At 38.2% G+C, this 17,190-nt stretch overlaps 1 protein-coding gene across 4 annotated transcripts in view; it reads left to right on the top strand.

Annotated features, from left to right (window-relative positions):
* Window positions 1-16,764, top strand: part of POFUT3 (protein O-fucosyltransferase 3) — a 165,086-nt gene extending 148,322 nt beyond the window's left edge. For 3 of the 4 annotated variants that reach the window (XM_011544677.4, XM_011544676.4, XM_047422325.1), the window contains one exon: window positions 15,698-16,764. In XM_011544677.4, the coding sequence (XP_011542979.1) occupies window positions 15,698-16,013 (316 nt within the window). In that variant the 3' untranslated portion in view covers window positions 16,014-16,764. Of the gene's footprint in view, window positions 1-1,315; window positions 1,347-15,697 lie in introns of those variants that run through there. The other variant, XM_011544681.4, reaches the window with a different exon arrangement.
* The last annotated feature ends 426 nt before the right edge of the window (window positions 16,765-17,190 follow it).

The following is a 17,190-nucleotide window of genomic DNA, read 5'->3' as shown; positions in this document are numbered from 1 at the left end:
AGCTGAGAAAGAAGGAGTGGGCAGCTATGACTTCCAAATTCATCTATTACATAGGCGATGGTGCTGTGAGATGGGGGAGGGTTTGTGGGAGAAGAGTGGGGTTGGGGGGGTGCAAATAATAATAATAATAGCCAACATTTGTTATGCATCCACTATGTTCCAGGGACTTTTAAAAGTGTTTTGCGTGTAATAACTCATTTAATCTTCACCACACCCTTATGAATAGATACTATTACTACCTCCATTTTACAGCTGGGGTTTAGATAACAAATTTGGTTTTATATTTGTCACATTTGAGATGCCTGTTAGACAATCAGATAGATATAGAGTAGGGTTTTGGAGTCTCAATCTTGAATTAGGAAGTGAGTTTTGGCTGGACATTTGAGATTATCTTACATGTACAAATCCTTGCATCCTAAAAAAGGGTCCAGGGAGAGCATGTTCTATTACAATATCGAGGCAGACCCTGAAAAACTGGGAACTCCAACACTAAAAGGACAGAGAGGGGAAGAGCCTGCTATTTGCTCACCATTATCCATGTTCTCTACCTCCTGGGCACCCAGTTAGGTGACATTTCCAGCCTCCCTTGCTGTGAGGTGTGGCTGATTTCTTCTAGCCAGAGGAATGTGTGGGGAGAAGTGATGTGGTCATAGTTCATGCAACCTTTCACATGGGCTTTTTTGTGCTTCTTACTACATCCCAGCTGACTGGGATGGAAACCTCTGGGGAGTCTATGGACATCACATGTTGAAAAAGCTTCCATCAGCCTCCACTTTGAATGCCTGTATAGGGCAGGGCATTCCTTCCCACCACCCAGCCCTGATTCCTTGAAATTGCTCTGGGCTCTTAGGTGAGCAAGAAATACATGTCTATTGTACTTGAGTCATTGTATATTTCTGAGTTTATTCATTACAGTAGTTACCTAAGCAGAGAAAAACTAAAGCATGAAAGAGGGGTGAGAACTTATCCATACAGTTACATCATCTTATGTAGAATGAATATTTCTTTCACAAGGCAGCACGTGCCTAGGCTGAACTTGTGGAATAAGTAAAAAAAGTTACTTCACTTATTATAAGGTTTCTGACAAGAGAGGTAAAGATCTAAATCCCGGGGTGGCTGTTTTTAGAACTGATAGCCCCGTATCCCTTCCCAAACTTCTGATTTGGTAGGCTGTTATATATTCTTGAATTGGGAGTAAGTCTACAGTGAAACCTTCCACCACATGTGGTAGGGACAAGCTCATTACTTACTCCAAGGCATCTGACTTGCACATATTCTGTGCTGTGCAATATATCAGGGTCCCCTTTCTTTGCAGGCACAGCACAAAGTGAAGGTCAATCAGCACATAATTATAGGAACATCGCTGTGTTGAAAGCAGACTTCATTACCCTTTGTGAGTGCTACCTGATATTGACTGAGGACTCAGAAGAAGAAAAAAGCTTCATGCACCCTGCAGATTTGCAGTGCAACGCACTGTCATTCCTGTGGAGGATGTACGAGAACTTTGGTCGAAAATAAGGCACGTTTCCAACAGCATTTTGCCCAGAATATTGTGATGGGGTTTGCAGACATGAAACATACTGTCCGCATCATCAAGACACACAGTTCAGATATTTTCTAGGACCAGCTGCTAAGTCATGACTCAGACACATGCCTTGCTACAAATTCCAGCTCAAGCCACCTGCAAGTTTTAACTGTGTGTGTGCACTTGTATGTGTGCTCCTGTTTCCTTGCAAGCGGGAGAGCCACAGAGATTGGACACTGAAATGAAATGCCCAAAAGGGCAATTAAAATTATTGTTGCCCACTTGTAAAATTGGCATCCTCACGACTAAGATAAGCTTGGGTGGCAAAACACTTAGTTGTCTTTGAAAAAAAAAAAGCTCCACTTATTGGGAAAACCCACCTCAGAAACAAAATCTAACTCACAGTGAGCTCTGAAGGAAAAAAGGAGGAATTGAATGCACCTCCCTTGCCAAGCATGTCTGCGAGACAGCCAGTCTCATAAATTTCAGATCAACTTAGTTTGGCCTCTAAACCAAATCTGCCTTAATGCTATTTGTAGATATAGATTGCTGTCTTTTTCATTACCGTTATCAAATGATGCATTTGCAGCTCAGCTCTGAGCTCCTTGACCCATTAAGTGGATTAGATTGCCTGTTGTCTTTGTCCTTTTGGCTTTTGCTTTATCCTCAAATATTCTACCCTTTTATACTATGTATATAATATGCATGCATTATTATGTATGGTATGCACATACACCTGCCTGCCATCCCAATTAGCCTGACAACCCCATCCCTTCTGTTTTATAAGAGGACTGTGTTCAAATCTCTTATCAGAGTCATCAATCCTTCCCTGTAGCAGCAGCAGCAGTAGAAATCCTCTGAGAAATGGCATGTCACAAGCCAAGCTCAGGGCCCTTGTAGAGCTACACTCAGCAAATTGAAGATCATGCTCCCTATTAAGCTCAAGGCTGGTGCATCATGGGAGATTCATTTTCAGGAGCAGCTTAGGGCCCCTCCCTTCTGTGTCTTACACATGTTAATCTCTCCTCCAGCCCACAGGAGCTGCAGCAGAAAAAGTGGGCTCAGGACAAGTCCTGATGATGTTATTAACATGAAAACTTGCTCTTATACATTTAGGGAAAAGTTGAAGGGGAAGGAAATAAAAGGGAAAGACGAAGACCAAGAACTCAGTCCTGACTCTTGAAACCAAATGATAGCTCCAGCAGGGTTGGCCATGGACATAATCAGTTTCCATTTTTATTCCGTTAAGTATTTGTTGAGGGTTGATCATGTGTGGTGTACTATGCTGGGTATTAAGCATGCAGTGGTGAGCCAGACATATACTCATTGCAGCAACTAGTCATGGAGACATATAGTTAAATAAGCCATTTTATTAAAAGGTAGTAACAGTTGCTGTGATATGGGTGCTTATTATATAAGCATTCAAAAGGTGCACCTAAGTATTCTATGGGAATCAAGGAAAGCTGCCCCGAGGAAGTGACATTTAGGCTGAGACCTGGCAGAAGAGTAGAAGAGTTATTTTCCTAGGAGATCCCCATGTTTTTGGTAGGCAATAAGGAATACTTGTTAGTTTGTTTCCAAGATGGCCACCATCAATTCCTTTCTTCAGGCACAAGCATGTCATTCCCCCATTGAGAAATGGAATCTATTTCCTTACCTTTGAATCTGGGCTGGTCTTAGTGACTTGGCTTGACAATATAATATGCCAGAAGAGATGGTCTGGGACTTTCGAGAGCATCTTTGGGGGAAGCCAGTGACCAAATAAGAGGTCCAACTATCCTGAGACCACCCTGCTGCGAGAAGCCAAAGTCACATAAAGTTATCTCAGTGGCAGAGATGCTGTGGAGGGAGGGAGAGAGAAATGGGGAAGGAAGGAGAGAAAGTGATACCAGGTAGCAACGAAGCATCAGATGTGTGAGTGAAAAAGCCATTTTGGAAGTGATCTATGAGCCCCAGCTGCTCTAGCTGGTGCCATGTGACAAACCCTTCAGCTGTATCTTCTCTGAATCCTTGACTCACAAATCACGTTTTTTATAAGCCAGAGAACTTTCAGTGGCTTTTTATGTAGTAATAGCCAATTGGAAGAGAATTGCTGCCACTTGAGAACTTGCACCTCGGGAACTATACTTAGCCTATTCTTACCTAGACCTGGTTTAGATGATGAGATTCTGGACTTTCATACCTGAGCCAGGGGCCATAATGGGATGAGATTTGGAAGTCTTAGAAGGAGTGAGTGTATTTTGCAGGTGGAGGTCTTATGAATCATTAGTAGCAGGTGGAGGTCTTATGAATATTGATGGTGGTAGCTAGCGTCTAAAAATGGCGTTCCAATGAGCCAGGCCTCCCAGTATTCCTGCCCTTATGTAGCCCTCTCCACTTGAATCTGGACTCATCCTGTGACTTACTGTTAACCAATGAAATGCTTCAGAAGTGATAATTTCTGGGATTAGAAGCCTTGTAGCTTTTGTCTGAGCCTCCTGGAATGCTTGGTTTTCTGACTCTACCTCTTGTAACTCAGCTGCCATGAAGTCTAGCTATGAGAAGCCCAAGCCTCATGGAGGCCATGTGTTTTGGTTTAAAGCTCCACTTCAGCTTCCAGTCTTTAATTGACATCAACTGTCAGCCATAAGTGCACTATCTTAATCGTTCAGCCCAGTTAAGCTTCAGATAGTCACAGCTCCATCTGACGTGACAGATCTCAACCGAAAACTACCTAGCTTGGCTGAAGTAACCCCAGATCTATGGAAGGTAAGAATTAATTATTAATTTTAACCACTGAGTTTTGGAGTAGTTTATTGTGCTGCAATAGAAGAGAAACCATTGCAAATAGTGTTTGATTTGGAAGAATCCATTATAAATCCTAACATGCCAGAAGAATTTAAACTTGGTCAACACCCCAGAATTAAAAAAGAAAATGTAGCATTCTAGGTACTGAGAGCTAAATAAACTCTCTTAGGCTAGTTGCAAATTATTGGAATATTATCTCATTATCATTGATCATAACTTTATTTTGTTCTACTTCAATGTTGGGTTATACTCTTCCCCCTAATTTATTTTGAGAAGTGAACACAAAAATGTGTATCAGATGCCCCCCTTCCATATGTCTTAGCAATCAAAGCATCAATCAAATCATCAGCAATTAAAAGGTTAAGATCTCATAAAATCATTTATAAGATCTCATATAAATGACATACACATGGCATAGTCTCTGTTCTTAGATACCCAAAGCATTTCTTAATATAGTCTTTCTAGGCAGTGAATGGAAAACACAAAGCTATAAGCAGAGGATGGTATAGTCTATTCCAGTGTCTGGCACATAGTACATCCTTAGTAACTCTCCATTCCATGAATCATGAATTCATTTATTCATTATGTCAGTGCCAAGAGCTGATCAGTAACTCAAGTCCAGGTGCAGCTAGCTATACCTTCTTCACCTCTTAAAGACTATGCCTCAGGAGCTGGCCTGAAAGCCTGAAAGCTCTTCAACCAGTGTCAGCATCAGGTACATCAGAACTAATAATGTTTGGCTAAATATATATATTATATATATATAAATATATATAAAATATACATTTATATATTATATAAATATATATAAAATATATATATTTATATAATATATAAATATATATAAAATATATATATTTATATAATATATAAATATATATAAAATATATATATTTATATAATATATAAATACATATAAAATATATATTTATATAATATATAAATACATATAAAATATATATATTTATATATTATATAAATATATATATATATTATATAATATATAAAAATATATATATTTATATATTATATAAATATATAAAATATATACATTTATATATTATATAAATATATAAAAAATATATATATAATATATTTATATAATATATACTATATATAAAAATATATTTCTATAATATATACATATATATAAAATATATATAAAATATATTTACATATTATATAAACATATATAAAATATATTTACATATTATATAAACATATATATAAAATATATTTACATATTATATAAAATATATAAAATATATTTATATATTATGTAAAATATATAAATATATTTATATATTATGTAAAATATATAAATATATTTTATATAATATATAAATATATGTAAAATATATTTATATATTATATAAATATATGTAAAATATATTTATATATTATATAAATATATGTAAAATATATTTATATATTATATAAATATATGTAAAATATATTTATATAATATATAAATATATGTAAAATATATTTATATATTATATAAATATATGTAAAATATATTTATGTATTATATAAATATATGTAAAATATATTTATGTATTATATAAATATATGTAAAATATATTTATGTATTATATAAATATATGTAAAATATATTTATGTATTATATAAAGATATAAAAAATATATATAAAATATATTTATATATTATATAAATATATATAAAATATATATATATAATATATATAAAATATATATATATTATATAAATATATATAAAATATATATACAATATATTTATATATTATATAAATATATATAAAATATATATACAATATATTTATATATTATATAAATATATATAAAATATATATACAATATATTTATATATTATATAAATATATATACAATATATTTATATATTATATAAATATATATACAATATATTTATATATTATATAAATATATATACAATATATTTATATATTATATATATATTTATATAAAATAGCTAATTATATTATGATTATTATAATCATAATATATTATATTATAATATATGTACATTATATATTATAATAATATAATAGAATTCATACACACACACATATAAATACATATATACATGTGTGTATGTGTGCATAAAATCTTGCCTTCCCCTCACTCTTTTCCCTTTTTGTGCAAGGGAATGTGCTAGACATTGTAGGATTTGTATAAATATTTATTTCTAGCCTGAGCTTTTAAGCACCCCCAAGATTCTGAATTACAAGCTTTCCTTTTTAGGTTAAGTGAAACAGTATATTATTGTGGAGCAGTTTAAACTTCAGACGAAAATACAAAACAGCAGGAAATAAAATAAGCCTAAGCACTTTGCTGCACTATGGAATTCTTACATGTGGACTCAGATACAGAGACGTAGAAGCTGGTCCAATGCATAGATAACAGGCTATTTATGCCCAGAGCATCAAAAGACTGCACTCTCTCACCTGTCTGACACTTTGCCTGCAATTCTACCATGAAAGGCATTTCTTTGAAATTGGCATTTTATTCACCAGACATTTGTTTGAAAGTATATTGCACAAAAGGGATAATTTACTGGGAAACCAACAGAGAACAGAGCAGTGAATACATGGAAGGCAACTGACATGAGGATGAAGGATGGAGAAGTAAGGCTGGAAATGCCTGGGGCCCTGATGGGGGAAATGAAGACTCTGGTAAGGAAGTCAAGTCTGAGGCTCTAGGCGCGGAGGGACAGCTTGATGAGTGGGTGTGTTACAGACCCAAACTGGGGTTTGCTTGCCCAGCTCAGTAAGGCCAACATCCACACTGAAGTTTTGCTGGGGGGAAAAAGGAGGGTGTTTATTTACAGGGCAACCAGCAAAGAGAATTGGGCAGCTCACACTTGAGAGCTGACCTCCCTGATGGCTTGCTTACAAGCAAGGGTTTTAAAAGACAGGGCTTATACATTTCAGGAAAGCAGATGTTACAGGCAAAATTCCAAAACCGAGTATGGAGGTTATACGTTGGTTTGGCCTAAAAGGGTGGAGTATCTTGAAGTGAGGGCTTACTGGTCATAGGTAGATTCAAAGATTCCCTGATTTCTGATTGGCTATGGAAGTGAAGCTTTGTCTAAAAACTTGGGGTCAGCAGAAAGGAACGTTGAGGTCTGGCCTGTGGGCATGACTTCCTTCAGACCCCTCAAGAATAAATTTAGAACAAAAAATAACTGTCAGAGTTCAGTCCTCGGTTCCCCCTTATCTGAAATTGATGTGCCAGTGGACAGTATTTTCTCTTTGGTGGGGGTCCAGGCTTCTGAAAACAACTCAAGGACATATGTTGTTATCTTTAGTTTTTATGGGGAACCAAGTATTTTGTGGCTATAACTTCTTTTGCTACTGTTTTAAGCTATTATTACTTTCTTACTTATCAGGTTGCTCATTTATTTGTCAAAGCTAGCTAGGTGCCTGGCATTTTCCTTGAAGGAACTCAAGATTTTCCTTTATTTTCATGCCTAGTGGGGCCCAGCAGGCCCTTAAGAAGGGGGTTGATGAGGGGGTTCTGTCTCAGTCTCAGGTGGGGGACATTGAACCACTACTTTACACATTTGCTCAAAAGTTGCCTTTAAATGGAGAATCAGACAGAATAATTACAGTGAATTCCTCAAGACAGGGCCATAGGATCATGGGAAGGAAGTGGTGAGAAATATGGGAAGAGAACAGGAAGTCATTGCTCCACTTTAATCTGTGTCACCTTGCCTCACATTCACAGACACAACAAATTTTTGCTGTTCCTTTCCTTGTTTTTTTTTTTTGAGACAGAGTCTCACTCTGTCACCTAGGCTGAAGTGCAGTGGCCCAATCTTGGCTCATTGCAACCTCCACCTCCTGGGTTCAAGCAATTCTTCTGCCTCAGCCTCCTAAGTAGCTGGGATTACAGGTGCCTGCAACAATGCCCAGCTTTCTTTCTTTCTTTCTTTCTTTTTTTTTGTAGTTTTAGTAGAGATGGGGTTTTGCCATGTTGGCCAGCCTGGTCTCAAACCCCTGACCTCAGGTGATCCACCTGCCTCAGCCTCCCAAAGTGCTGGGATTACAGGTATGAGCCACCGTGCCTGGCTAAAATTTTGCTTTTTCAAAATGGTTTTCAAAACCCACTAGACCTTTCTAATATTATTTTCACTAACTAACCATAGATGCAACCTCAGGGAGATGTTACCCCTTAGTAACCATGTCTCTCTGTGCTTGCCAAGGTAAAGTGGGGAAGATAGGAACTGGCCTTGCATAGAGAATCTTAGGAAGCTCTCCTGACCCCAGGATTCTCACCAGCACCATAGAAGCAGGAAGTCAATTTTTTAAGTCCACTTCAAAGGGTTACCTACTCATACAGAACCTCTCTTATCCCCATAATGACCCATATCCTGTAATAAATAGTAGATCAGTGATGAGAAGTGCAGCATGAACAAGCCTGCACTCCTGGCATTGTTTCTTAATTAGCACTTGCTATGTTTCCAGGTAGATCCAGGTGTTCTTGACATTTGGCAGCAAAGATAATCCACTCCCCAGCCCCACAATTAGACAGTATCAGGAAATGCCAAGATTGCATAAATCCTAGGCACTCATCTCTAACTATAACATAAACATGGAGGAAACATACATTATTTTAAAGGAAAAATAGGAGATGTGCTTGGATTTAAATGATCCGTCATGAAGGCAGTATCAAAGGGAAGAAGAAAATATATTTTCTAGAATTTCTGTTTTTTCAGTGACAGGTTTCTAACTAGCTTAATGAAAAAAAGAGGTCTTATTATTCAAATGCTAGGGAGTCTCATAGAATCTCAGAGCATGACTGCAGATGTCCTCCAGGAACAGCTGGAACAAGCAATAAAACTTATCCCAACTATCTCTGTCTTCATTTTGCATTTGTTCCCATCGGTTTCTCTCTCATTTTTCCCTTTCTTCAGATTGGTTGTCTCCATGTCTCCTGAAGACAAGGCAGGACACGGCCCCCACTTTCTGACCCCCTCTTCACGACCGTCACAGTTCTCTCAACTTCTCACTCAGTTTTTCCTGGGATTGAGGGAAGAGAGTAGCCATAATGTCACAAAGAACTACCTTGCTATTAGCAGTTGCTGCAGATTCCCTCTGATGTTTAATCACCCATAGAAATCATTTGTCTAAGCAATTAAGAATTTGGGTATAGGGCATTTTTAGGGATTAATGATCAAGTAGTAAACACTGACTGCTTATAGCCTTGTTAAGGGCTGTTTATCAGCAAGGAATGACCTACTTCAAGGTGACTGATGATATTTACTAGGAAAATTAGATGAGCAAGGACACAAATTCATTTTGAGTGATTCAGGGATGGCAGTATAGTGAAAGCATTTATTGGGCAAGGCTCACTTCTGTGTTAGCTGTCTGAATCACGTTGCCCTTGGTTTTACACACAGAGGTATGCTCTATAAACATTCTTTGCCAGGCACCTAGCTAGCTTTGAAAAGTAAATGTGCAGTCTGATAAGCAAACGTTCTCATGAAACAAGAAAGAAGTTTTGGTTCTACTGAAGCATAATTGTTGTGCAATCATCTTCTCCCATCAAGGATGAACATTACAATTTGTGCATCCAAAGCCATACACTCAATGTGCATTTTCAATAGGAGCCCTATGAACACTGAACTCACCTAATTCTTACAACAGCTCTGTAAAGGCGGTGTTATTACCACTGTTTGGCAGATGAGGAGGTTGAGGCTTACCTAAGGTAAATAATGTTTCCAAGGTCATGCAACTGAGCTCAGATATTATTCATCTGTCTGACTTCAGAACCTGCTATATCACCGTTTTTCCTACGAAAAACAGAGAGCAAGTAATCTGCCTCCAATGTAACTGGAAGTAAACCACAAATTTATGTATTTAATTCTAACCCCAAATGGAAGCTAACACGTACATGGTATTTGCTATGTGCTAGTTACTGATCCAGTGCTTTACACATGTGAGCTCATTTAATGCTTATGGTGTGCTTGGAAAGTAGCTACTATTTTTGACTCCATTTAACAGAGGGGAAACAGAGTCAGAGTGGTTAACTTGCTCATGATTTCACAGCTAATAACTGGTGGATTTAAACTCTCGTAACAGCTGTAGTACACTGTCTGTTAGTGCCTTTTTGATGTTTTGTCCCTGTTGACTTTGAAAGGCAAATAATACAAAAGAACACCTTGGGAGTGGATATTAGAGAGGTTTAACCTCCATCCCACGTGGTTGAATTGTCACAAGGCAGTGAGAAGAGAATGTGGATTTTCTTTTCACCCTCAGTTGGAGAGGCTGCAGGGCAGGCACACAGCCTGTTCTCTCTCGGAAACAGTGGGATTCACCTCTGGCAAGAGACGAAAAGGACAGAAACATGAGCTGCCATCAATTGATTTCTTTTTAAACATTAGCAGGGAAAAAATAGGCCGATGATAACTCAGCACTTTAAAGCTTTGCAGATTGGGATGGTGTTAATCAAATCTCTAGCATAAAGTAGGCAGAGTTATAGGGAGCACAAAGGATACCTAGAGGTCATTACGTGCTGTGTGTCCTGACTGCCACAGCTACTGCCCTAACTCATTAAATTTTTCCTAAAGCTAATGAAATCAAGAGGGAGGAGACTCTGCAGAGTGGAAAGAGCCTGGGGTTAGAGTTGGGAGCCATAAATATTTCTTAGCAATTTAACTGACTCTAGGTTCCATATGAGTCAACAGTGCAATGTGATTAAAAAAAGAAGAGAAAAATGGGCACAATTGTGTTTACACCAGCATACATAAAATATGAGGAGTTTATATTCAGGATAATTTGAATCTATGCTCTCAGGTAGCAAAGTATCTTTAAAATAAGAAAAGAAAGAAAGTATGCAGAATAAGGAATGTCAGAGGTGATGGTTCCATTTTATTCTGTGTTGCTCAGAGCCCATCTGGAATAGGGAGGATGTCAGTTCTGTGCTGATGATGGTTCCATTTTATTCCGTGTTGCTCACAGCCCATCTGGAATAGGGAGGATATCAGTTCTGTGCACCATATTCAGAGAAAGTACAGCTCAAGCAGAGCCACGAGAATGCCTGCAACCATTAGCTCCAAAGAGGGCGAAGATTATGATTGTGGAAGGGTTAGGATCGGAAAAGAAGCTGCCTCATGGAAATAGAAGAGAAACTGAGGATTTAGCATTCTGAGGAATGACACATCCTAGAAAATCAAAAAGAAAAACTTACCACCATTCATAGCAATAAATAGCGTTTGTGCAAGCAAGTACTGTTTGTAGTTGTATTTTGCTGTAATAACCAGAAGTTGGCTTACCCTGACTGTCCCTCAAAAATTGTACTCCCACTAACCCCTTTCTCTAATCTCCCTACTTAATTTTCCTCCATGGTCTCCATTAACACTTGGCATGCTTTGTTTATTTATGATTTTCACCTATTAGAAATTACACTTCACATGGGCATTCATTGTCCATTTTCTCCTTGCTGTATTCCTAGAGCCTGGAGTAGTACCTGGCACAGAGTATGTACTCAGTACATATTAATTAATAATAGATGGTAATGGAATCATCATAGAATGAGTGAATAAATGAGACATCGGCAGCAGAAGCAGCAAGATCCGAGGAGGCAGGGTGGTATGCATGTCTCATGGCCTAGGTGCTAGAAGGCACATGTGACTCCGATCATTTGGAAATTGCAAATGTCTAGCCAGGAGGAGGTTGACTTAGATGGCTGTTTCTAGACTGGTAGCTTTGTGACACTTCAGAAAGATGAAAGGAAAGGATGGAAATAGCGTTCTGGGGATTTGATAAAAGGTATGGCTCTGAGCTATTGCCACAAACTGCACAGGATGAACTCTAAAATGAAAACATGAAAGTTTTCAGTTCTGAAAAAGCTGACCATCTGGGTGGACAAAGAGCTTCCTAGACTATTATGAGCTTCCTTAATCTGGGTGGTCTTTGGTGCTGGGAGAGATTCTGAAAAACTTTACTTGGAATATAAAATCTCATGTAAGTTGTTAGTAAAACTAACTCATCATAGTTGCATGCTAGAAACAGAGATAGGAGAGGGGGGATGTGGAAGGTGGTGAGACTCATCTTCTCTTTAAAGGCCTAGGGAAGAATCCTTTCTTGCTTCTTCTTGGATTCTGGTGATTGCTGGTAATCCTTGGCATGCCTTGGCTTGTAGGCACATCACTGCCATCTCTGCCTCTGTCATCACATGGCATTGTCCTTGTGTTCTATGTCCAAATTTCTCTCTCTCTCTCTCTCTCTCTATTTCTTTTTTTTTTTGAGACGGAGTCTTGCTCTGTTGCCCAGGCTGGAGTGCAGTGGTGCAATCTCAGCTAACTGCAACCTCTGCCTCCTGGGTTCAAACAATTCTCCTGCCTCAGCCTCCTGAGTAGCTGGAACTACAGGTATGTGCCACCACGCCTGGCTAATTTTTGTACTTTTAGTGGAGACGGGGTTTCACCACATTGGCCAGGCTGGTCTCGAACTCCCAACCTCAAGTGATCTGCCCGCTTTGGCCTCCCAAAGGCTAGGATTACGAGTGTGACCATGCCTGGCCAAATTTCTCTCTTCTTGTAAAGACAGCAGTCATTGAATTAGAGCCTGCCTTAATTCAGTATGTTTCATCTTTACCTGATTATATTTATGAAGATTCTATTTCCTAATACGGTCAAGTTCACAGGTATTGGGAGTTGTGACTTGAACATATTTTTGGGAGGGACATGATTCTATCCACCACAAAAACATATCAGAACAAAAGACAGGGCATCTGAAGCTTGAATGAATGAATTTTCCTGGAATGTGCCTCCCCCACTGACTTTTGGGAATTGCTTATGTAGAAGGAATAGGGATCCTCCTCCTGCCTCTATTCCATGTTCAGAAATTACAGTAGAGTGCACCTTTCCCAAACTTTAACCTTGCAGGGGAAGTAAAACCGACATTAACATAAAAATAATTTAATTTCAAAGCTTTTGCTTCAGTCTTTATATAGTGAGGGTAAGGCGCTCTAGAGGAAGGATTCTCTACAGTGGGATTGTATTTGATGTATGGTCATATCCCCTTGGATGAGAAAGTAATGATGGTTATCCCCTTTCCCTTACCAGTGACTGATTCAGGCTCAACTCAATTTAGGGCAATGTGCTTCATTTATTCTTTCATTGATTCAACATGTATCTATTGAGTTTTTACCACATGCTAGATACTTCAAATATCTGGCTAAAAACTTCTTGTACATAAGATTGTGACCTCTGTCAATTACTGATTTTTAAAGCCCATCAGTGTTAATCTAAAAGAACATGGAGAAAAATTACAATTTGTCCAGGAAATGGGAATATGCAGATAACTTTCAGCTGGCATGCAGAAGGTCTTCATGGCTACCCTGAAGGTATTGAGGATGTAATAGCAAATAAAGCAAGGAGAATAGTCTTGCTTGAGGTTTCTGCAAAGAAAAACCAGGTCCTTTCTCCCACTGGATATTATCAAGGATATGTTTTCCCAGCCTCTGACAAGGAGGGTACCAGCCCCAAGATAAAGCGAATGCTTTGTTCAGCAGAGCAGGGAGGGAAAAATAGCTTAAGTCTCTGATGACATTGTTGAGGAACTAAACTAACCAAACCTTACATGAGGACATTCTGTATTATAAGAAAATAAATTTACAAATAAATAGTGAATTGGGTTTGGGCTGAGTTTCAATTTCTTGCCTGCTAAAGCGCCTAGCTGATACCAGGCATCATCTCTTTGCATTACTTAAGTTCTGCAGAGTCTGAAAGCCACAGGAGAATAGATGGAAATGGCACAGCTCTGCTCGACAATGTTCTGTCTTTTCTGTGGGAGATATTTTTTTTTTTTTTTTTGAGATGGAGTCTTGCTCTGTCACCCAGGCTGGAGTGCAGTGGCACGATCTCAGCTCACTTTAACCTCTGCCTCCCTGGTTCAAGGGATCCTCCTGCCTCAGCCTCCCGAGTAGCTGGGACTGGATGCTAATCTTTTTATTTTTGTGGAGACAGGGTTTTGCCATGTTGGCCATAGCTGGTCTCAAACTCCTGGCCTCAAGGAATTTGCCTGCCTTGAGGCCAAAGTGCTGGGATTATAGGTATGAGTCACTGAGCCCGGCTGGGGATTTTTATTGTGTTTTGAAAAAGGACACATTTGATGAGAGAACACATCTGTGGACAGAGAAACAAGACGAAGAACTGAGTTGTGACTTTAAGGAAATTGTATATCAAATCCTTATTTTGTTTTTGAGCTTTTTCTGTAAAGCACACTGTAAAAAACTTCTTTTTTTTGGTAGTAATTCTGAGTTACCTTCAATTTAGTAAAATCTCAGCAGCTGTGAGTGGTGTGGCAAAATTCTGGGGAGTAAAAGATAGGAGTCATAAGAAGAATTCTATGATTCTGTTTGTCAAAGATAGAAGTCAGATCAGATTTTTAAGCCCAGTCAACAGATCCACATGAAAGTAGTTTCTCAAATGGTCACAATATGCTACATTTCAGAAAATACTCCTTCCATCCCTTCCTATTTTTAATCTACTCAGGCATAGAGAAGATATTAATGATAAAAGCATAAATCATATGCAGCACGGGGGTTGGAAATTCAGCAGGAGAATTGGGTCTTGAAGACTTCCCTCAACAGTTGGAATTGTTTGTGTGTAACCATGGTGATGGAAAGAAGAAAGCATTGCCTTGGATAACCATTCAGTTTCCCCTGCCAAGTTGCTGGTTGGCTTCATTCATTTTATCCAGCCAGGGCTTGGCTGAAATGTTTTTATCCACAATTGCCTAAAGGTTAATATAATTTCAAAACTATGGTCAGACTTTGTGAGACATATTTTAATTTATTTTTACTGAGTACTGACTAAGCGCCTGGGAACAATTGATGATGATACCTAGAAACAGAAATTGAAATGTTGGAAGCAACAAGGACCTGAGGATTCATCAATCATCTGACTGCATGGATGAGGGTCCAGAAATCTAAATGCCTGCTGTCACTGGGCCGGTCAGCAGAGAAGAAGACTCGAGTTCAGGGTTCTTAAATCCTGATCCAATCTTCCTTCCACAGGGAAATTCTAATGGCATTTTCTCTCAGCCTCCTTCAACTCTCCAACCAAGCTCTCATTTCTAAGGTCTCAGGTGACTGTTTTGTGCGGAAGACGCACGAGGGGAGAAAAACACACACACACACACACACACACAATACCTTTAAGGATAAACAACCTTTATCCCATGTAAATGGCAATGCAGATATAATAAGCCAATGATATAATAAGCAAATTGATATAATAAGCAGATTGATGTAATAAGCAACTTGCAATGGGAAGGGGGAAAGGAAAAAAATATGTGTGTGTATATATATATATATATATATATATATATATATTTTTTTTTTTTTTTTTTTTTTTTTTTTTTACACTCCCCAGACTATGGAGGATTCACCACCAGACTAGGAAGCAACAGCCGGGGCTCCAGAGTCAGACACTACACTCACCAGACTATGGAGGTTTCGCCACCAGACTGGGAAGCAACAGCCTGGGCTCCAGAGTCAGACGCTACACCCACCAGACTATGGAGGATTCGCCACCAGACTGGGAAGCAACAGCCTGGGCTCCAGAGTCAGACACTACACTCACTAGACTATGGACGATTCACCACCAGACTGGGAAGCAACAGCCTGGGCTCCAGAATGCACAGATGAGGAGAGGTCTCATGAAGCTTCGGTGGAGTCTGGGACCCTAGCTCTTTTTGTAACAAGTTGTTTGACATGAGGCCCAGTCACGAGGGCCCTTTGTGACTGGGCTCCAGGAACACAAAAAGGTCAACTTGTTTTTGCAACTGTCTATTGTTTTTCATTAACTAATGTATAGGAATAGATTGAAATACAGATTTCTCCGAAACAGTGCAGGATGAATGCCTCAAGGGGCTCACACAACCTGTTCTGGGACTTGGTGACCATTGTTTGTGTCCATGTTCAATTGAGTTCAAATTGAATATTTAATTTTTCCTCCACAGTGATCTCTGGTAAAAAGATCTGATGCTTTAGAATGTTAGGGCTCCATGGAGCCTTGCAGATCATCCAGTTCCTAGACTAGACTCTAGTCCAAACACCTCACTTTACAGAGAGGAAAATGGATCCAGGGAGAAAAGCTGACTGCATTCTTACCATTAGCCAGAGACAGAATAGGACTGGAACTCAGGTCTCCTGATAGAGCTCAATGCTCTCTTTGCTGCCTTCTTTTAGATTAATTTTTATGATTCAATTTTTATCTCCTTTGTTGGCTTGGTAGCTACAACTGTTTGTTTTGTTATTTTGCAGGTTCTTTAAGGTTTATAGTATACATCTTTATCTTATTACAGTCTTTGTTCAACTGATAGTATATTGCCACTTCACACATAGTATAACAACATTATGTTTCTTCCTTTCCAGCTTTCATGTTGTTATCATACATTTTACTTGTGCGTATGCAATAAATCCCAAAATACATGGTTACTATTTGTTTTTAAATAGTTAATTATATTTAAAAGAGATTAAATAATAAGAGGAGGAATACCTTACATATATACCCATGTAATTACCATTTCCTTTGATCTTCATTCCTTTGTGTGAATCTATGTTTTCATCAGGTATCCTTTTCCTTTGGTGGTAAATTTTTTCAGCTTTCGCAGGTCTGAAAAAGTCTTTATTTCACTTTCTTTTTTTATATGTAAAAATTTAAGACATAATTTATACATATAAATTACATATGTAGTTTAATCCATAAAAATTGTTCAAGTCCAATTTTGTTACATGGATATATTGCATAAAATGAAGCTGGGCTATTGGTATATATATCACCTGAATAATGTACATTGTATCCATTGAGGAATTTCTTATTCCTCATCCCTGCCCACCCTCCCACCCTTCCAAGTCTCCAGT

The sequence above is a fragment of the Homo sapiens genome, chromosome 8, assembly GCF_000001405.40.
Source record: "Homo sapiens chromosome 8, GRCh38.p14 Primary Assembly".
NCBI lineage: Eukaryota > Metazoa > Chordata > Mammalia > Primates > Hominidae > Homo > Homo sapiens.
This window is presented reverse-complemented; position numbering and strand designations above follow the sequence as displayed.